Source organism: Homo sapiens, chromosome 22, assembly GCF_000001405.40.
Source record: "Homo sapiens chromosome 22, GRCh38.p14 Primary Assembly".
NCBI classification, from domain to species: domain Eukaryota; kingdom Metazoa; phylum Chordata; class Mammalia; order Primates; family Hominidae; genus Homo; species Homo sapiens.
In genome coordinates, this window is record NC_000022.11 from 20,206,003 (window position 1) to 20,226,829 (window position 20,827).

General features: G+C 58.4%; 3 long non-coding RNA genes across 3 annotated transcripts, besides 3 other annotated features; 2 read left to right on the forward strand and 1 right to left on the reverse strand.

Annotated features, from left to right (window-relative positions):
- Nucleotides 1-15: 15 nt before the first annotated feature.
- Nucleotides 16-6,160, reverse strand: LOC105372862 (uncharacterized). The gene is made up of 3 exons (XR_938009.3): nucleotides 3,143-6,160; nucleotides 1,971-2,061; nucleotides 16-243 (listed from the first exon to the last, which is right to left on the reverse strand). It is a non-coding gene; the product is annotated as an uncharacterized LOC105372862 (long non-coding RNA).
- LINC00896 (long intergenic non-protein coding RNA 896) lies at nucleotides 330-2,535 on the forward strand. The gene has a single exon (NR_026919.1). It is a non-coding gene; the product is annotated as a long intergenic non-protein coding RNA 896 (long non-coding RNA).
- Nucleotides 447-686: an enhancer, noted in NCBI's record as "active region_18672". NCBI's record gives its function as "activates an Ori minimal core promoter by ATAC-STARR-seq in GM12878 lymphoblastoid cells {active_cell/tissue: GM12878}" and the evidence as "EXISTENCE:reporter gene assay evidence [ECO:0000049][PMID:35858748]".
- Nucleotides 1,895-2,425: an enhancer, noted in NCBI's record as "H3K4me1 hESC enhancer chr22:20195420-20195950 (GRCh37/hg19 assembly coordinates)". NCBI's record gives its function as "activates a minimal SCP1, AML or CMV promoter by ChIP-STARR-seq in naive H9 embryonic stem cells {active_cell/tissue: H9 hESC(naive)}" and the evidence as "EXISTENCE:reporter gene assay evidence [ECO:0000049][PMID:30033119]".
- A 4,675-nt stretch (nucleotides 6,161-10,835) lies between the features above and the next one.
- LOC124905083 (uncharacterized) lies at nucleotides 10,836-15,496 on the forward strand. The gene is made up of 2 exons (XR_007068008.1): nucleotides 10,836-13,563; nucleotides 14,178-15,496. It is a non-coding gene; the product is annotated as an uncharacterized LOC124905083 (long non-coding RNA).
- Nucleotides 16,982-17,649: an enhancer, noted in NCBI's record as "H3K4me1 hESC enhancer chr22:20210507-20211174 (GRCh37/hg19 assembly coordinates)". NCBI's record gives its function as "activates a minimal SCP1, AML or CMV promoter by ChIP-STARR-seq in naive H9 embryonic stem cells {active_cell/tissue: H9 hESC(naive)}" and the evidence as "EXISTENCE:reporter gene assay evidence [ECO:0000049][PMID:30033119]".

The window sequence follows — 20,827 nt, forward strand, 5'->3', positions numbered from 1 at the left end:
GGATCACACGTGGGCTTGGAGAATGAGTGCAAGGTTTTATTGAGTGGAAGTAGCTCTCAGCAGATGGGGGAGCCAGAGGGGAGATGGTTTTCCCCTGGAGTCAGGCAACATTCTCGGGATGTCCAGCAGCTTGTCTTCTTCCACCAGTGTGTTCCTCTCCCCACACAGAGGCTTCTGTCTCTGCCTTGCTAGGGTCTTGGGTTTTTATAGGCATAGGATGGAGGCATGGCAGGCCAGGGTGGTCTTGGGAAATGCAACATTTGGGCAGGAAATGCCTGTCCTCACCTAGGTTCGTGGGGGTGGAGCCCTAGGCAGGGACCACGCCCTTCTCTACGGAGCACTTCCCGTCCCTCCTCTGTATCATTTAAAGGGACCACGCTTTTCCCTTCTCAGCACTTCCTTTCCGTATCAACAGGAGGCCAGGGACTGGCTGGACCCCTAGGAGCCAGGTCCTACGGATAGGTGAGCCGGCCCCCCAGGGCAAACACCTCCACTGGGCAGACCTGACTGCCCAGAGCTGGATTCTTTACTTGTAAAAGGGGCCATGAGTGACACAGGCTCGGCCTGCTGTGCCTTGAGGAAAGGAGAGGCTAAAAATTCTGCCTTCTCTCCTAAAGCCAGCCGGGCTCTTTATGGTGGGGGAAGGAAGGATTTGTTTATTTGCACTCTTCTGAAATAAAAGTTCTCTATCCTCCCTCCTGGCTGGAGTTGGGAGGGCCCCATGGGTGGGCTCTGAGATGTGGCACACGGTACCCAGGGCAGGGCTGGGAAGGGTGGGGTGCAGGGGCCTCCCTGGCTGCAGGGCCCACCCACCAGGTGCCTGGGCTTGCTGCACTGAGCAGGCATGGGCTCTGGCCCCCCTCACTGTCCCTTCCAGGCCCAGCCTGTGTTCAGGGCCCAGGACAGGGTCTGGCCAGCAGGCCCCAGGCCTCCAAGATGTTCTCAGCCTCTGGAGTGTGTGTGATGATGAGCACTCATGGAGCTTCCTGTATGCTGGGCCCTGGGCTTCTGAGAGGGCCACCGGGTGGCGACTGAGTCACGAGGTGGAGGGCCAGTCCCAGGGACTCCAGGTGACCTCGTGTCGGCACCACGCCCTTCTCCCATGGGCAGTCCTGGGCGCCCCTTCCTGGCCTTGGGCCCAGTGGCCTGTGGCCTGACCCCGTCCACTCCTGCTTGGTTGTCCCAGCAGCAGCAGGAGCCCATGCTGGAGAAGGTGTTATGGGGCAGGTGGAGGGCCCGGCTGACTCAGATGATCCCCCAAGTTTCTTTTCAATGAACACTTGTTTAGTGCAGTTTTTCCTCCTCAAATCCCCCTCACACAGGCAGACACCCTCTTGGCCCAGGGTAATCTGCTGAGCCTTTGCTCAAATATAGCAGCTTTGCTGCTTTCTAAACACAACTAATCCAATTTGGGATTTGGGGATTCGAGGTGGGCAGCACTGGGCCTCAGATGAGCCCCCATCACCCCAGACCCATGCAGGAAGAGCCAGGCAGGGTGGGGCCCTGGGGCCACCTGGTGGGCTCAGGGCCAGGGCATCGCGATGTCCCCATCCTTCACACTACGGGGCTTCCTGGCTGCAGAGTTGGGGACTCAGCTGGGAATGCTGGCCATAGAGGCAGAGAGCCCCCATCCTGCTGGGCCAGCCCTGACCTGGCTTCTCCAGGGTGGCCCAGTGTCCCCTTCTGCCCTTCCCCTGGCTCCCACCGTCCACATCCCTCTATCTGCCCACCCTGGACAACAACCAGCACAGTGCAGTGTGGCCCTGCAGTGACACCACCTGCAGAGAGGTCAGGCCCAGCCTCCCCCGTCTCCTAAAAGGCCAGCAGGTCCCAGGAGCTGGGGGTGGGGCCTGGCTGTGGGGCCTCCATGCCCCAGGGGCCAGGGCAGACCCTCCTTAGCCGGCAACCACTGCAGATTCCTCCCCTGGCCAGCACTCGGGGACCTCCCTGCCCCTGCCCCGTCCCCCTACCTTGCCTGCTGAGACATAGGGCTCCACGGGTCTCTCTCCTGGGGCCGGGCTGACTGTGGCCTGCGAGGGGCAGTCATCGTGTTGGGTTTTCCTGCCAGAGGCAGAAACCACAAAATTACCTGGAACATACACGCCCCAAGTGACAGATTCAATTCAATTCCACAAATATTGACCTCGCGTCTAATCCACTCGTCCTCCAGTGCCAGCTCATTCCTGAGAAGCCCAGCCTGGCAGCCGCAGATCCCATTTAATCCCAGCCCCACAATGTCACCAGCTCGCAGCTTGGGAGCTGGGCTCATCCAGGCCCTGGCAGGTGGGGCCAGAGCTGGGCTCTGACCTCTGTACCCACACTTACCACCATGTAAAGTGCTGGGAAGAGGGGTGGGGAGTCACGGCAAGTTGAGGGTCCAGGCTTGCCCCAGCTCGCCAGATGCTCGCCCTGGCTGCCCTGACCTAGCAGCTAATCTCTGCGGGGCACTGCGGCTACATGGTGACTCCAGCACGGGGACATTTATCAGAAATGGAACTGATGGATTAAAGTGGAACCAAGCGAATTGATTTTTCTCCCTGGGCACTGAAATGCTGCGCTTAATCAAGCGATCAACTCCGTGGGCAGGGTGGCTGTGGGGACGGAGGTGGGGGACAAGGGGATGGTGGCCATGGTGGGGACTGAAAGGTGGCTATGGGGACAGATGAGGTGAGCCAGGTGGCCCTGGGGTCGAGCTCCAGCCCAGCCTCTGGCAAAGAGGCCCTGTGTGCAGAAGTCCGGGTGTGATGCCCTCCCCCCACCGATTGTGTGATACCGGCCAGTCCTGTCCCGGCTGAGCCTCGGTGGCCTTGATGTAACCCTGTGGGGTCTGGTGGCAGGGACTGATTCACTCATTTGCTCATTCATTCATGTGTTTGACACACACTGCAGCAAAGGAAAGGTGAGAGCAGCCACAGGCTGGCCAGGGACGATTCAGACTTCAGAGTGTAGCGTGCCCGCCCCTCCTCTTGTGAGGTCCAGCCTTGGTGTGTGTGGATTCCCAGGCACCCTCCAGGTCCACCCTCCACTCTGCAGTGCCCCGCCCACCTGTCCACATACTCTGTTCTGTGGTTTGATCGCCATCCTTCTGCTCTGCGGCCAACTGGATGGCCCAAGCGGACTGAGTTGGGCAGGGTGGTCATACCTGTGGAGCCTGTGGCTGTGGTTGGAGGCCCCGTGGGCAGCTGAGGCAGCCTGGGTGGGCATGTCCCACTGGGACTTAAGCCCCTAGGTGGGCTGTCCGAAGTGACTCCTGAGTGGCTGGGGTGTGCTGTCCTTCCAGCCTGGCCGTGGTGGCTGGGTGGTGTTGGAAGGCACTGAAGGAAGGGCAGGTGAATTCGTGCTGGACCTGGTCTCAGTGCCATGGGCCCCAGGAGCCCATGACATCACTGGCCTCATGGACTGTGGGGATTAACCCTGTCACTGGACACCCCCAACACACCCCCTCCAAAAGAAAGGTGTTGGCACAAGTGAAACCCCTTGAGTGATGGCTGGGATTTCAAGCTCCAGACTGGTCCCCACTAGGAAGCTCTGGGTCTGGCTGGTGGAGCAATGTGTACCCGCGCCTCTGCGTCTCCCTGCATCTGGCAGCCCTCCCAACAGGGCTCATGTGGGGTGCAGTGAAGCAGCAAAGCCCCCCACCCCACCCCACCCCAGACTAAACACAGGCTGTAGACCTGGCCCAGGGTGAGAAGGGCCCCTGTGGACCACCTACCCAGGTGGTCTGTGGCAGCCTCTCCCAGCTTTCGGTCCAGGTGGCCCAGGGAGGTGGCAGCCCTGACCCTTCCTGGCGATACCCTGATTGATCATAGTGAAACACTGAGCTGGGAGAGCCAGGGGCACCCAGGGCTGAGCTCCCGGGGCAGCTCCCAGGAGCTGCAAGTGGACCTGGCACTAGGAAGGAGCAGTCCACCGAGCACCTAGGCCAGGGCCCGGGACGGTGCCAGGCACCAGCTGAGGCCCTGCCAGGCCAGCCGCATCTTCACATTCAAGACCCCAGGCCCCAGCCACGGCTCTGAGCTCTGGGTGTCTGCAGCCACGGTTGGCAGGGTGGGCCCCACCTTGCCCTGACTGGGCCACGGACTGGTGTGAAGAGCTCTAAATTTCACTTACTCCCCCAAAGTAGAAGTGGCCTAGGACTGTGTGGTGGCTCCTGGTCTCCAGAACCCTGCCAGGCTCCAGGGCAAGCAGGGAAGTCAGGCTTAGCTGCAGGGCAGCACCTGTCTGCACACCCCGTCCTGCCACGCTCCCTGCAGGGACCTCCGCCTGTTGTCCATGGTCCAGCTTGCTGGATGGGGCAGCAGCTCCTACACTCAGAGCTCTGCCATCCCCAGCCCCAGGCCAGGCTCTCCCCACAGCCCGTTAGGCCCTGACGTCCCCTGACAACCAGGAGTTGGACAGGCCTGGCCCCCAGGCTGCCCCACACTGCCATGAGGACCCCAGCTGGCTGAGTCCCATGTCCAGGCTCACTTCCTCTGTCCCTGCAGCAGTGAGCACCTGGGACCATCATGGTGAGCACCACCCACCTTGCCCCTTGGCCCATACTCGGGGACCTGGGTTCCCCAGGTGATCAGGGTGGCCTGCAGGGCCTGAGGTGGCCATGCCAGCCAAACTCCCCCTGCCCCACAACTGGGTCACCTCTTCACCCTCCCGCAGCCCTTGGGAACCCAGTGAGCTCCTCCCCCTTGCTGCTTTGTGAGTGCTGGCAGTCCTGGGTTGCTGTCCTGGAGCTCCAAGACCTCCCTTCTGGAAGGCTGGGGCTTCCTGGTGGAAGATCCCGCTCACCTCAGCTGTGGCGTGGGCCTGGGCTTCAGCCTGGGGCAGCCCTCATGGGCAACTGCTTCAGACTGGACCCCATGTGCTGGGGTGGCCAGGGCTGTGCATGGCAGGTTCAGGGCACAGGGTGCAGGCAAGGGTGTGAGGGTGTGGGAGGGCTTCAGTGGGAGGCCCTGATGCTGAGCAGACACAGTACAGCCTGGTAAACAAGGCTCGTGTGCTGGGCACTCATCGATCTTGGCCATTCGGGCCTGGCCAACAGCCGGTGGGCTCAGGCCTGGGCGGGGGCTGGGGTGGGAGTGAGCTGCCTCAGGCTGGGCCGTGGGCACTGCAGGTGGCTTGTCCGGACAGCCCTTTCCCTGGACCCCTCATGCCCATGGCTCTAGCTGAAAACACAGCTGCTCTTCTCTACAGGCTCGTCCTGGGGTGAGGAGGGTGTGGGAGCTGCCTAGCCCTTCCTTTCCCAAGGGGTTGGGTGCCCCTGGCTGAGGAGGAGACCCTCATGGCTGGAACTTGGTGGTGGTCAGAGCCTCCTGGAAGTTGACCAGCTGAGCTCCAGCAAGTCCATGCCTCCTGGGACACAGCCTGGCCCCGATGAACCCTCAGCTGCCATCATCCTCAAAGTCGCAGCAGGCTGGATGCTGAAGGCACAGGGGGCCGCATGGACTGTGGCTGCAGCTCTCTCATTGTCATGGGGAGGGAATGGCCTGCAGCCCCATCTTGTTCCCTTCTCTTAACAGCCTCTTTCCAAAGATGGCCCGAGCTCCCATCCCCGCCCCCACAGGGCTCTTCCTGCACTTCCCCAGGCATCCTGGGAGGAGAGGTGGGCTGTGGCTGGAATGTGCCGCCCTCTCACCCTCCTGCCAGGACCACTGTGCTGGCTGCCTTGGTGGCCTGGAGGCCTGCAGAGCTGCCCAAGCGGGGGCTCCATGCGCAGCTCCCACTCCATGTTCTGTCCCTGGGGAGGCCCACACAGCACTGCCCCTCTGTCTCATTCCAGGTGCCTGGTCCCCAGCGATCCGCCTTGACCCCAGATGCTCAGACTTGCTAGCCCAGGGCCAGAGGGGCACAGGACAGGGCTTTGGAGAGGGGGCTTCCTAGGCTGGTGCTGGCCCAGCCTGCCCAGCCCTGCCCTGCTCGGCCCCTGCCTGTCTGGGTGCTGGACCTGGCCTGATCCATGAAGCTTCTCCTAGCGAGGTGTTTTCCAGGCCTTTGGAATCTTAGGGATGATTTCGTATGGGGAGGGGCCTTCTCCCCAGCCTGCTGTCTTATTTTTGTGCCGATTCCCCGCAGCCCGAGCTCCTGCCCCCAGCACCTGCCTTTCCAGCCTGTGTCCTGTCTTCCACCAGCGGACTCCAGCCTGGCTCCCACTGCCACGTGGCTGCCTGGCGCATGCTCCACCCCGTGTCCTCCCAGGGTCCCAGTGAGGGCCCAGCCCCGCAGTGCGCAGTCTCCGCAGCCATCGAGTAGGCGGCCAGCTGAGCAGAGGTGCTGGCCGGCTGCCAGCCCAGCACCCGTCCTGCTGAAGTTGCTCCTGGCACGCTTCCGGCCCCAGGCTTCCCTGGGTGGTGGGGCAGACTTTGTGTTGCTGGTGTGCAGGAAGGGCCCACGACCCCCACCCAACATGTGAGAGGGGCATTTGGCAGCCATGGGCAGGACACCACCTTCGACCATCAGCTAGGGGTATGTGCAAAGGGCCTGAGTGAGAAACAAAAGACAAAATGGACCAAATGTGCTTGTGTGGCCGGGTGTGTGAATTGTGTGCAGGTGAGTGTGGAAAGATGTGTGAGCACAAGCCTGTCAGCATACACGTGTGGGCGTGGGCATGTGGGTGAGCATGCAAGTGTGTATACATAAGTGAGTGAGCACGTGTGTGTGGACGTGCATGTTATGTGGATGTGCATGTGTGCATATGAGTGTGTGAGTGCATGTTTGATGAGCATGTATGTGTGGGCACACGTGTGTGTGTCAGCGTGTGCTGACTGCCATGGACGTGCACCTGGCTGAGTGTGGAAATGTGTGTGTGAGTGTACTGGCAGTCCAGGTTTTACACCCACACGGCTTTGCCTCCCCAGGAATCCGTTTTAATAGCAGAGTGGGCTGGAAGGGCTGGCCAGGCCCTGAGGCAGTTTTCAGGCCAGCAGTCCCTGGCTCCTCATATGCGGTGACAGCCCAGGAGGCCGGGGCCCTCAGAGTGCAGTCTTTGGACATGCCTGGTTGATGGATCCGTCATTACCAGCCTGGGAGCTGGGCATGGGCTCCGGGGCTGGAGGACACCCCTTTCCATCCCTGGCCCTGGCGAGCCCGGCCCTCCTCTCGCCCCGTGATAACCTGCAGCCTCATGGGGAAAGGCACGCGGAGGTGGTGCCGCACCCCCAGCCCTCACCCCTGCTTTGCCAATCCTGGATCCTGGCCTCCGCCCGCCAAAGTCCACCATTGGCCACAGGATGTGGGTGCTGTGCTGTGTCCTTGAAAATCTGAAGATGAGGACAGCTCAGTGGGCGGGGGCGTTTCACACATTCGACACATGCCCTCACGCCTGTGGGTGTGTGGCGGGCTGGTTTACAGTTACGTGAGGATTTCAGACCCAAAGTGCAGAGCCTGCAGCTGAGCAGTGCCCAGGGAGGGCTGGGGAGGAAGGTCCCAGCCAGGAAAGTAGGGTGACTCTCATCAGTGGCTGCGGTGTCCAGCTGGGATGATCAGGGCCGTGCCAGCCTGGTGCGCCTGGGGGACCCACAGCAGAGGTCCTGCATGCACTTGGCTGGCACGTGTAGTTCTGAAGGCCCCTGGGGAGGCCTGGCACATGCAGTGTTTGGGGACCCTCTCTGCTGCCTAGACACTGCCACAGACCCCACACCCAACCTTGCTGTTTTTCCCCCAAGTGAGGGGAGCTGCTTTTTCCAACTCGGATAGCCCCCCTGCACTGTGCAGCTCGCCCACCTCCCTCACAGCTATTCCAGCATCTCTGGGCGGGTGCGGGAAGCCGGATGCAGCCAGTACCGTTGCTGTTTTTGGAAAAGAGAGGTTCAAGGCAGGGAGGGCCCAGCCTATGTTCCAGCAGGGTTGTCTGGCTGGGGGGGTCTGCACCTCGCCCCTGCACCCCCAGGTTCCTGGCTCCCCACCCCCGTGCACGAAGCCCTTCTTGCCTGGCAGGCCTGGGGGCCCCCGGCCGCCATGCGCCCCACCGCGGGTGTGATTTGGCAGCAGCGTTCTCCTCGCCAGCTTGTTTCTCACATAGGGGATGTTTCCATTTTTACAGCAGAAAGAAACCGATTCCAAGCGCCTCAGCCACAGCCGGAGCGCGACGGCCCCCAGGGAGCTGCTGCCACGTCAGGTGCTTTGGGGGTGTGGGCTGCTCTGCCAGCCGTGGTCCTAATTGCTGTCACTCAGGGAGCCAGCTCTAGCCTGGGGCAGGCAGGAACCATGAGGGGGGTCTTCGGGGCAGGCACTGGTCCCTGGCGGAATCCGAACCTCTGCCTGGTTCTCCTGGCACCCCCTCCCCAGAGACCTGGAGCACCTCCCGACTTTGGGTGGGATGGGCCTGTGGTTCTGGAACAGGAGCTTTGCCTGTGGGACCCTCCCATGGGGGCGGGGTGTCCTCTCTTAGCCCAGGTGGGTTTGAGCCCCACACTGCTCCTTCCACCGCTCAGATTCCCGCCTGCAGGTCCCTGTCACGGGGCTGCTGAGGACCGACCAAGGTGACTGCCCATAGCCCCACGCCAGCATGGGGCACAGCTGCCTGGCGGCTCTGCCGTCACCCCCCGTGCTCTGACTCTGTGCTGTGGATTTGTGTCACCTGCAGACTTGGGTGGCATTGGGCACAGGGGCACGGTGTCCTCTGTCACTTCCCCACCTTGCTTGGGGCTGGTCTCCCAGGATGCTGAAGCATTGAAGTGCCTCGAGGACTGTTAGAAAGATTTTCTTAGAAAGAAACATTTGCTACCCAGGGCACAGAACAGCTCCTCGAGGTCTCGTAAACCAGTGTGGACTCGGCCCTGCTCCCGAGACTTGGAGGAAAGGCAGAAAGGGCGGCAAGTCACACGCAAGGCAATTTTCAAAGAAAAGGGCACAACTCATAGGAGGCAGGGGAAGGATTCCATTTCACCTACAGTCATGGCCCCGCGTCTTCAGGGAATAGGTGCTGTCTGGTGCATCACATTATTAGTGCTGGAGGGCATCGCAGTCCTGGGGGAGGTCACTGCCAGCATGGCAGCCCATAGGAAGTGGGAGGGTGGGATTCAAGGGCAAGGCGGGTGGTGGGTCCTGGCCCCTGATGAGGCAGGTGGATGGTGGACCTGCCTCCACCCTACCCAGCAGGCTGGCCACCAGGGCGTGTCCACAGACTCCAGACAAGAAGGAGAGAGTAAACTGAGGCATGTGGGGCCCAGGCCCTGGGCGCAAGGCTGGAGGCCTGAGGTGGCATCCCATCAGCTGGAATCAGGATTGCCTCGATCTTTGATTCTTGAGACAGGAGGAGTGTGGCGGTGGCCCCAGCAGGATCCCTGAGATCTTACACAGGTGAGGTGGTTGCAGAAGCACTACACGGGGCTGGGGCCTGAGGGTGCAGTGCTGGGTCTAGGTCTCCCTGAGAGTCCACTGACAGCTGTGGAACCAGGCCTCAGGGGAGCTGGGTGCAAATCCCACCCCTCCACAGAGCAGCCGTGTGACCCGAGGCTGTTTTGCCCTCTCTGCCTCAGTTTCTCTCTGGCAGCCGCTCCTCCCTGGGCCCCGACCTGACCCTTCAGGCTCAGGAGGCTGCTCCAGGTCCAGAACCTGGTGCTGCACTGGGTCCAGCCTCCAGGCCTTTGCTAATGTTGTGGTCTCTGCCTGTGATAACTCCTGCGAGAGCTCCTGATCTCTTATGACCCTCCCCTGCCTGGGCAGATGCTCCTCCTGTCACCGAGGGTCCCATTAGCTGGCAGCTACCCTGCCACTTGGTGGACCCAGGTGATGTGGGTGGGCCTCACTCTTCATCCACAAGTGGGTGAGAAAAGGCAGGAAAGGAGGTGAAGCCAAAGATGGCATGCTCCCCCTGCACAGGGTGACTGTATGGGGGGGTCACGGCGGGGGAGGGAGGGGAGGAGAGTGGTCCATCTAAGGGCCCTGCCAGGGCCCAATGCAATGTCCCATCCTTAGATCCATCTTCAGTCACATCCCCACGCTAGGGGGAGCAGCATTTCCAAAACGCCTGCCCTGGGGGCTCTCAGAATTCAGGGGTTCCCTTTGAGGTCACACAGGCCCCACTGAGGCCAGACACAGCAAGTCCTTGCTCCTTGGCCTAAGCCTGCAACCCCTGAGCCTCAGTTTCCTGCAGTAAGTGGGACATGATGCCTTTCCACTCCTCTAGGCTTCTGCCCATCCTGTGTCACCGTCCCAGCAGATGAGTAGCTGGTCTGGTGGCCTGAGACCTTGCTTCACTGGGGGACAGGGCTGCCATCCTCGAAGGCCAGGGTCTGGGCCTCTGGGCCGGGAGCTCCTCCATCAGCTTGCAGCCCTGGGGGAGGCTTGCAGCCCTGGAGGCCACTCCCTCTAGTGACAGAACCCATACCTCTGGGAACTGCTTCCTCTGCCTGCATGCCCCAAACTTGGACTTGGAGGTTGTAGATGGCCGTGGCAGGGCCCTTGCCTGGCCCCTATCCTCCTGCAGCCTGGCCTAGGCATGGGTGACTTACCCAGTGCCAGCAGGCTGCCTCAGCCCGTGCCCACTAAAAAATTTGTTCCTGGCCGGGCGCAGTGGCTCACGCCTGTGATCCCAGCACTTTGGGAGGCTGAGGCAGGTGGATCGTCTGAGGTCAGGTGTTTGAGACCAGCCTAACCAACATGGTGAAACCCCGTCTCTACTAAAAATACAAAAATTAGCCGGGCGTGATGGCAGGCGCCTGTAATCCCAGCTACTCAGGAAGCTTAGGCAAGAGAATCACTTGAACCTGGGAGGCGGAGGTTGCAGTGAGCGGAGATTGCGCCGCTGCACTCCATCCTGGACAATAGAGCAAGACTCCGTCTCAAAAAAAAAAAAATTGTTCCCATGATATTCCAAATACAGTCATATACCATAATGACATTTCAGTCAACCATGGGCCGTGTATATAGCGGTGGTTCCATAAGATGAGAATACTGTATTTTTACTATACCTTTTCTATGTTTAGATACACAATACCACTGTGTTACGATCCCCTACAGTGTCCAATAGAGTAACACGCTGCACAGGTGTGTAGCCTAGGAGCAAAAGGCCAAACCAAATAGCCCAGGTGTGTAGTGGGCTCTGCCATCTATGCTTGCTTAAGTTACTCTATGATGTTTGCACAATGACGAAATCACCAAACAATGCATTTCTCAGAACATAGCCCCATCATGTAATGGCATGAGAGGACACGGGCAGAATTCTTGGATGCCCATTTTGGGGACAGCCACCATAGTTTGGACATTAATACATTTGGGCACATGCACATGAGCACACACATGCTCACATGCACATGGATGCACACGTATGCGCGTACCACTCACTCCCGGGCACATGCTCATTCCCGGGCACATACACAGTGGGGCGGGGCAGGAAGGCTGGATGGGGCCCAGGGGAGTCAGGTGCTGTGGTGCGCTGGGGCTCAGGCCCTTCCAGCATTCAAACAGAGAGTCTCCTAAGAAAGCAGGGAGCCCACAGGGCATGGGATTTGGAATCTGAGTCAGGGATTTGAATCCCATCTTGTGCCCTGGGCATGCTAAGTCTCCCTCCTAGTGCAGTGGGTGCCTGCTGCCCAGGCTGCAGGAGCGTTTGAGGAGGCTTGTCAGCCTATAGGGAACTGCCTGGCGTCCTGCTCAGTGCTGCAGGCTGCATGAGGGGCCAATTGAGGACCCCCTAAGCCCAGGAGGGGCAGAGGCCAGGGACCAGATGCCACAAGTATCTGTGGGTGGGCTTGGCTGTGATGAGCAGGACAGGGCTCAGCCAATGCCCAGGGGCAGAGCCCCCGAGGCACTGATGACCACAGTGAGGCCAGCGTCAGGCTCTGGGTCTTGGGTCTTGGTGCTGCTCCAGGAGTGGACCCACATGGCCCCTCAGATGCTGCTCTGTGACTCCAGGCCTGGGTCAAGCCGACCTCTCTGCTTGTCCCCCCACCTCCCTCTAGGTAACTAGGCCCCAAGATGTCACAGCATCAGAAATACAGAGAAAAAAAAGCATAGTTAATACTGCTCCTGCTGGGAAGGCCCACAGCAGGGCGGATGGTAGTGCACCCAGCAGGTGTGACAGCCCAGTCTCCCCATCTGCAGGGAAACCCCATGCCCCCTCAACCCTTACTGCCTGTCACCAGCTGGACCCCGGTCTCTCCTGGCTGCTGTCTCACCTGCCTTCACATGGTTTCTGGTTCTTTCATCTTTTCATTATAATTTTTGTTTGGAGAAACTTTAAAAGTAAAAGAATGTGGGCCAAAAATATGTTAACCCATTCCCACCAGACATGCAACACTGGGGGGGCTGTTCCTCCCAGGCTCCTTGGGCCCCCCAGCTGCCCATGACCCCTGGGTGTGCCCAGACAGCAGGGGGGGTGTAGTCCACCCCCACCACGTCCACAGCCCCTGACTCTCGGGTGGGTCTGGGGGCTGCTCGCCCTGGGAGAGAAGCCATCCCCTCCCGGCGGGGCCATCTATCAGGACCTCTCTGACATCAGCATTTTCCTCTGTGGCTCTAGCTTCCTGCCTCCTATCTCTGTCCTCCTGAGAATGTCCCATCTGTCCCATCTTTCCCATTAGCAGCCCTGTCCCTGAGCCCAGTGCAAGCTCCACAGTGGAGAGGCCACTCAGCATTGTAAGTGAATGCTTGTCCTCGTGCCTCCCTCCCCGGGAGCTCTGCCTGGAGCTCCTTCCCGGCTCCGGTGAAGCTGCAGGCAGCATTTCATTGCTTTGACCTGTCCCAGGGCACCTTCCTTCTAGAAGGGCGACTTGAAACCTTTTCATCACAGCACGACATATGCCCGGTCTTGCTTTGGTCATCCAGTTTTATGTGTCCCATTTTATACTCATTTTCTTCCCCTCATGTTTTGTTTTTTTCTTTTAACTAAAACGATCCATTTATTGAGTTAAAAGATTGTATATTCAAGACGTTCACTCAGTATGTGATCCTGCATAGTAAACCTCGGGTGAAACAAAGACAACTATTTTTATATATTTTTAAAAATTTAGTGGCATATAGACTTCTAATATTTTGGGGGGGGGGATATTCTTTTTTTCTTTAATTATGGTAAAATATCCATAATATAAAACTGACCACTCGAATCATTTCTAAGTGAGCAGTTCAGTGGCATTTGGCATACTTACATTGTTGTGCAGCCATCACCCCCATCCATCCACAGAACTTTTTCATCTTCCCAAACTGAAACTCTGTATCCATTAAATAACAAATCCCCACCCTTCCCCGCCCCTGGCAACCACTGTCTACTTTCTGTCTCCATGGATTTGACTACAGTGTGTCTAAGTGGGATCATTCAGCATTTGTCCTTTTGTGACTGGCCTATTTCACCCCTCTGTTTTATACCTTTCTGCTGCGTGGCGCTTTGGCTTTCTATGTTCTGCGGCGGTGGGTGGTAAAGTGGATGTCCTGCTTTTAATTCTGAGGGCTCGCTTCTCAGTTTTCAAAAACACACTTTAATCTCTGATTCTCCAATTATCAAGCATTTGCCATGAAATGATACTTGCTGCTCCCCAGCACTGCAGACTGTGTAAGAGACATCTCAGCCAGCATTTGGATTAAGTCAAACCCCAGGAATCCGCACCTCCTCCACCTCATCACCCAATAAAAAAGGTAACGCTGAGGTATTAGAACATTCACATTAGTTCCATGAGCATGCCCTCTTATGGGCCTGAGAGCACCCAGGCTCTGGTGCAAGCCCCCCACAGCCCAGGGAAGTGTTTCAGGACTGGAGCCCTGCTCAGTGCTGTGGGCTGCACAAGGGGTCAACTGAGGACCCCTAAGCCCAGGAGTGGCAGAGGCTGGGGACCATCCCATGGGCTCCCAGGATGGCCTTGGGGCCACAGGGATTATGGCCAGGCTTGTACTTCCAAAGCCCTTCCAGGGAGGAAGGCGCTCCACTTCCTGCTTTGGCTTAAAAAAGTCCAGGGAAGCACCTGATTGGCCTGGCTCAGGTCACATGACACTCCCTCTGTCCAATCACTGTGGCCAAGAGAATGCGCTATTGTGATTGGCCCAGCCTGGGTCAGAGCCTTCCCCTGCTGCCTGGAGCAGGGTCTGTCTCCAGGAGAGAGGAGTAGGGTTCAGCCATTCCAATGGCGCTGCCGCCTGAAGAGCTGTCAGTCCTACTTTGCAGTTGAGCTGGCTCTGAGAAGAAAGTGCTCTGCCTAGCCCTGTGATTGATCCACAACTTCATGGGGACTCAAACATGGGTTCTTTTATTCCAGGTGGAGAAATTGAGGCCCCAAGCAGGGGCAGACTCACTGGGGTCACATGGTGAGTTGGTGGCATGAATGGGTGCTCCGGTCTACACTGTACCACCTCCTCCAGGAAGCCTTCCTGGCTTGGTCAAGCCAGGCCTGGGGTGGTCACCACCTGATGTCACATCCCCTTGAGACAAAGCCCCCCCCCTCCCCCGCCACCAGGCACCTATCCCCAGTGTCCAGGACATAGCTACTGGATTCAGGCAGCTTCTGCAGATGAGCTCCCAGCCCTATGTCCAGGAGGTTTCTGGAATCGACAGCTCTCCATGCCACAATACCCTCCATGGCTATTTAGGGAACACCCAGTGTGTGCCAGGTTCGGCTGGCCTGGGAGAGTGCACAGTGGACACTGGTCACCAGGAGACACAGGGGGCCAGTCCACACCCTTCCGCAGTCGGGCCTGGGGAATGGGTTGGGTACTGACCTGGAGGAGGGAGGGACAGCAGGAAGGGCTGGCTGGGCCTCAGCTCTCTTGCTTACCTTCCATTCTCTCGATGGCCCTGGCTAGACACATGCTGGCTCGCCCAGGCCCTACTCATGTTTCGGCACAACGACCCTGCTCTGCCTCCGTCCCCAAGACCCTGGGCTGTGCAACCAGGGCCAGACCTGTTCTTCAGCCGCACCAGGGCCTGGCTGTGCCTCTGCCTGTCAGTGGCCAAGCCCTGAGCCTGGAGCCATCCAGAGCCGCACGGAACCCACAGCCTGCAGGGTGGGGCTAGACATGGCTCCTCCTGCCCGCCCGTGGGTCGTACACCAGCTCATTAGAGCCAAAGCAGCATCGATTTTGTGAATGATGAGCATGTGTACGTGTTTTTGGAGCCCTGGTGTGATTTGGCGTGTGCAGCTGATGATTCAGGGGGGTCATGTGCAAACGACACGCCTTATAAATGTGAACCCACCAGAACGCCCCGTTACGGAGATTTACACTGATCCTTAAACATCGTAGATTAATTTTTGGAAAACATCTATAAAATAAGAGATTTATACCTAAAACAATACCCTATGCTGTGACAGGAAGGGATTAGAGTCAATTTATTCCTGTATTAGTCAAAAACTCAATTTCATATATTGTGTGGAAAAATTAAAACCCTTTCTACATTTTATTACAAATTATGCATACTCCATATATGGAGATAAATAATTGATAGCATTACAAATACTTAATCTAGAAAATATTTATTAGGAACAGACAACTCATTTTTCATGTGTTTTGTTGAGAACAATATTGCACACTTTAAAAAATTAATGATGACTCTTTGCAAAAATAAATGTCTACATCCTAATTCTTTTGTTTAGCATTGTGTCCAAGCCAGGCAGACGCAGCCGGGCAGTGGGCAGGTGGCCATGGAGCTGGGATGTCCACTCCCTGGCCCCTGGCTGTGGATGGGTCAGAGGGCTCATGTGCTGTGGCAGTTGGCCAGGGAAGGTGCATTTGGAGAGTGTCAACATACTGTTTGTCTTCTGCTGTGCAAACTCTCCTCGACTTGTAATTTAAAACTAAAAGTGTTTCCGACTTAATTTCTGAGAAAGCACCAAGTAATGGGATTTGTGGATGGACTTGAAGAGCCAAGAAATCAACACTGACTGCCTCTCGACCTGGAGAATTACGGAGCCCATGAATTCTCTGGGCCTCAGCTCTGGTCCCAGGCTCTGTGCACAAAGAGAGGTGGGCCTGGTGGGTGGTGCGGAGCTTGGCCTTGTACTTCGTGGCTGGCTCAGCCTGCCCTCCTGGGACAAGTGGCTCTGCCGGGTTCTGTGTGCCTCCTGGCATCTCTCTGAGGGGAGCTCCCAGCCTCTGCCTAGAATACCTGGGCAGCGTGTTCAGACCTGGGGCCCCCTGCACCATCACCCCATTCCAGGCTGGGAAGCTTGAGGACCCAGGCAGGGAAGCTTGAGGACCCAGGCAGGGCCCCAGTGTGCCACAGGGCTTGGCCACTGTGCAACTGCACTGCAGCTCTGGCCTCTGGCCGGGCCTTGCTTACCGACCTCTGCCCTCTGCCGTGTGTCCTCCACCTTGGCCATGCACAGCGGGGGCTAGGCGGGCACATGGTGGAGGCTGCCAATGGTGCCCTGGCAAGTTCTCTTCGCCCTCGTGCCAGCCACTCCAGGGAGCACCAGGGATTGAATAAATAACTGCCACGTTTATTAAAAAATAAATTTGGTGCCTAACGGAAGTGCTGTTTCTATACATAGAAAAAAATGTTTAAAATAAAAACCAAAACAGTTCTCAAAGGCGCTGTGGCATTAATTATTCATCGCTTGCTAATGAAAACATGGCTTTGCAGGCGTGGCCCCCACCTCCCTCCAAATAAGACTCGGGCTCAGGGAAAGCCTGGCCTTAAGGGCAGGGAGCTGGTGACCCCTGAATAAAATGGGGGTGGCTGTGATATCCTCCATGGGTATTTAGGGAGCACCCAGTGTGTGCCAGGCTCGGCTGGCCTGGGGGAGTGCACAGTGGGCACTGGTCACCAGGCAGGCACAGGGGGCAGTCTGCACCCCTCCTTAGTCAGCCTGGGGAATGGCTTGGGGTCTGACCTGGAGGAGGGAGGGAGCAGCAGGAGGGGCTGGCTGGGCAGCAGAGCCACCTCTTGGAGGAAAGAAATGGGGACAGAGGCCACTCTGGCCAGCACCAGAGGACAGTGGCTACATGTCTGGGCACCCAGGCCAGGGGCCTGGCAAACCCCCACAGGGTGGGTGGGTGAGGCCCTGTTCTAAGTCATTTGATGACCCAGCCACCCTCTCAGATGCTGCTGGATCCCAGACAGAGGGAGAGAGGGAGGCTGCAGGCCTTGCCGGAACCTAGGCGTGCCATGCATGCCCCAGCAGCCAGAACCAGCCATGTGGTGGTGCCACACCAGAAAGGGCCGGCCTGCCAGGCAGTCAGGGGCAGATGGGAGCAACTTGGGAAACAGCAGCAGGAGCCTCCACTCCCTCTGCCTCCACCTCTCCAGCAGACTATATGGCACACCCTGCCCAGCTGTGTGCAGCAGGGAAATTTGTGCCAGGCCTCGGGCACCTGAGCCCACACTGGGCATCGCTGTCCTGTCACTGATCCTGGGCACTGATAGGAACTGTGAACAAAGCTCGGTCCAGGGCCCTGTGGACTGAGCTCCCCATCCTCAGGGCCCGGGAGCCCCTCCTCCTGCAGTCACCTGGGGCAGCCCTATCTCTGTGGGGAGGCCTGGAGCATTTGTTCTTTTGTTCATTCATTCGTTTATTTATCCATAAATGCCCCCGAGCTGGCTGCCTGGTCTCCTGGGGAGAAGGGATGCTGATCCCATCAGTCACCTGCCTGAGCAGGGGGTCTGGGAGGCTGAGAGGAAGCCTCTCTGAGCTGCTGTGGGTGCAGGTGGTATCCAGGGCGACAGCTCCTGGGCAGGAGATGAGCTGTGCCCTGAGGTGGTCAAGTGGAACCCCAGCAGGGGCCTTTGAAGCTCCGCCAGCCCCTGGGGCAGGTCAGGGATGGGGAAGAGGCTGCAGGGGGCGGCAGGAGAGTGAGGCTCCATCTCTGCTGGGTGGCTCCGTCCTGGTTAGCAAGGTCTCTCGCGTCCTGGCCCCTGTGCTGGCTCCTGGGACGTGGAGTGGAACCCGCATCCCTGCTGCCCATGTGTGAGGACCCGGGCTGCCAGGGCTCCAGCTGGGCCCCAGGCTCAGGGTTTGTGTGCTGGAGACCCAGCAAAGCTGGACAGAGCCTGGCGGGACCTGGCTCTGCGATGGCCCAGCTTGGTGTACTCAGAAGGCCTGATGGGAGCTAGCCTGGACACCTTGGCCTGATTTAAGCCTGGGAGCCGCGTAAGGGGAGGCAGTTGGGCCTGCCGCCGAACCGACGCCCCGCTGCCCCCACTTGCCTCTCCCGCCGGTGGGCCTGACCTTGCTGGAAGCATCCCTCAGCCTGGTATGGATTTCCTGTCTTCACCGAGGCCGCAGGGCCAGCCGGGCGCAGGAGCCGAGCGGTGGTCAGGCCCGGGGATGGTTTTTTGTTTGTGGGGGCAGGGGCTGAGGGGACCCAAACCTTCCAGAGCTGGGGGGTTTTCTTCTCACCTGTCACTCCGTGGCTCCCTTTGGTGGCTCTTTGTCTGGCATGGGTGCTGGGCCCACCCTGCGGTGTGGGCAGCTGTCCAGCCTAGAGCCTGCCTCTGACCCTGGTCCTATCCTCAGGGCCCCTTCCAGGGCTGGAGCAACAGGGACACAATTGCTGAGCTCAGCCTGTGTCAGGTGCACAAGTGACCTCACTTGGGAGACAGTGCAACTGCAGTGGGCCTAGAGAGGGCTCTTCAGCTCCCAGTCACACAGCCAGGCCTGGAGAGGTACACATCCTGGTCCCTGATTCCCCCATCGGCACTGGGTGGACTGAGGAGTGGAGTGGGGACCCTGGGTGGGGGAGAGGAAGGAACTGGGCACAGGGGGAGAGCCAGGGACCAGAGGGCATCATGGAGATGAAAGGACAGGCGAGCCCAGGAGGGCACACACCATGGCACGGCAGGCAGACAGACATAGACATAATGCCCATATGGCAGCATGATCTCTCACACACACACATGCTCACATGGGCAGCACACTCACACACACGTGCATATGGACGGCACGCTCACATACACACGCACACATGGGCAGCACGCTCACACACACACGCACACATAGGCAGCACACACACACGCACACATGGACAGCAGGCTCTCACACACGCACACATGGGCAGCATGCTCACACACACACATGCACACATGGGCAGCATGCTCTCAGATACATGCACACATGAACATGGGCAGCACACACGTACACATAAGCAGCATGCTCACACATGCACACATGGGCAGCACGCTCACACACTTGCACACATGGGCAGCACACACACACGCGAGCAACACGCTCACACACACAACATGGGCAGCACACACATGTACACATAAGCAGCACACACAATGCACACATGGGCAGCACACACATGCACACATGGGCAGCACACACATGCACACATGGACAGCACACTCACACGTGTACACATGGGCAGCACGCTCACACACATGCACACATGGGCAGCATGCTCACACATGCACAGATGGGCAGCACACACACACATGCACACATGGACATCACACACGGACATCACACACATGCACACGTGGACAGCATGCTCATACATGCACAGATGAGCGGCACGCTCACACACTATGAGCAACAAGCTCACACACATGCACACATGAGCAACAGACACGCACACAGGCACAACATGGGCAGCACACACACATGCATATGAGCAGCATGCGCACACATATGCACACATGAGCAGCACGCTCACACATGTAAACAGGCAGCACACACACAAGCACACAAGAGCAACACACACACATGCACAACATGGGCAGCACACACATGCACACAAGCAGCATGCTCACACATATGAACACATGGGCAGCACGCTGACACACACATGCACACGTGAGCAGCATGCTCACACACGCACACGTGAGCAGCATGCTCACACATATGCACACATGGGCAGCATGCTCACACACACGCACATAGGAGCAGCACGTTCATACACACATGCATACATGAGCAGCACACTCACATGCACATGTGTGCACATGGACAGCACACAGATACACATGCACATGTGGGCCACACATACACACACATGCACACATTTATGCACATGGGAAGTATACTCACACACATGCATGCACACATGGGCAGCACATTCACATGTGTACATATGTGCATACCTAGGCAGTATGCTCACACACACACACACTCATGTGGGCAGCACACACACGCACACCTGGACAGCATATTTACACATGCATGTGCAGCACACATACACGAGGCAGCATGCTCACAGACACACGTGCACACACACAAGCACACTCAGAACAAGCTGTGGGGCCTGCGGTGAGGACACCAGGCAGGCAAGGCGGCTGCTGCAGAAATAATTAGTCACTGGTAGACAGGCCTGGCTCACCTTCTCCAAAGCCAAAGGGTGGCTACCAGCCCCCAGCTCTGGGAAAGGGCTCTGAGGGCCCGCCCCCACCTTGCAGTGGTTCCTGGGACCTGCAGGGAGCATCCCAAGCACGGCCCGTGGGGTGCGGGACTCTGCCATGTGATCCCTGAGGCTGGGCCTGGCCGGACGTGCCTTGGCCCCTGCAAACCGTGCACATCCCCAGGTCCCCCAGCACAGCAGCAGTGCAGGGAGTGGAGACGTGAAGATGGGGAGTGGAGACGTGAAGATGGGGAAGAAGGAGGTTGGAGGTGCAGGGCCGCCCTGTGTTCTTGTTGGAGTGGGGGTAGGAGCACTCCAGGTCTGGTTGGGCCCTGTGAGGGTGTTGGGGACCCCAGGCCAGGCCTGGGTCGGATCCATCACTCCCTGGAGGAGGCATCTGAGTCCAGGGATGCCGGACAGGCTGGTCCCAGGTCCCCAGGCTGACTGGGCCTCAGGCATATGGGCATCTGCAGCTGTCTGGGGCCAGGCCCAGGCTGAGGGGCAGCCAGCAGGGTGCAGGAACTCCCAGGCCCTCAGCTTGCAGCGCAGAGAAGGGTGACTGCTCTGCTGTTAAAACAATTTATTTTGCTCTTCAAAAAGCTAACAGCTGTTTACAGTCAGCATGTGGGAGCTG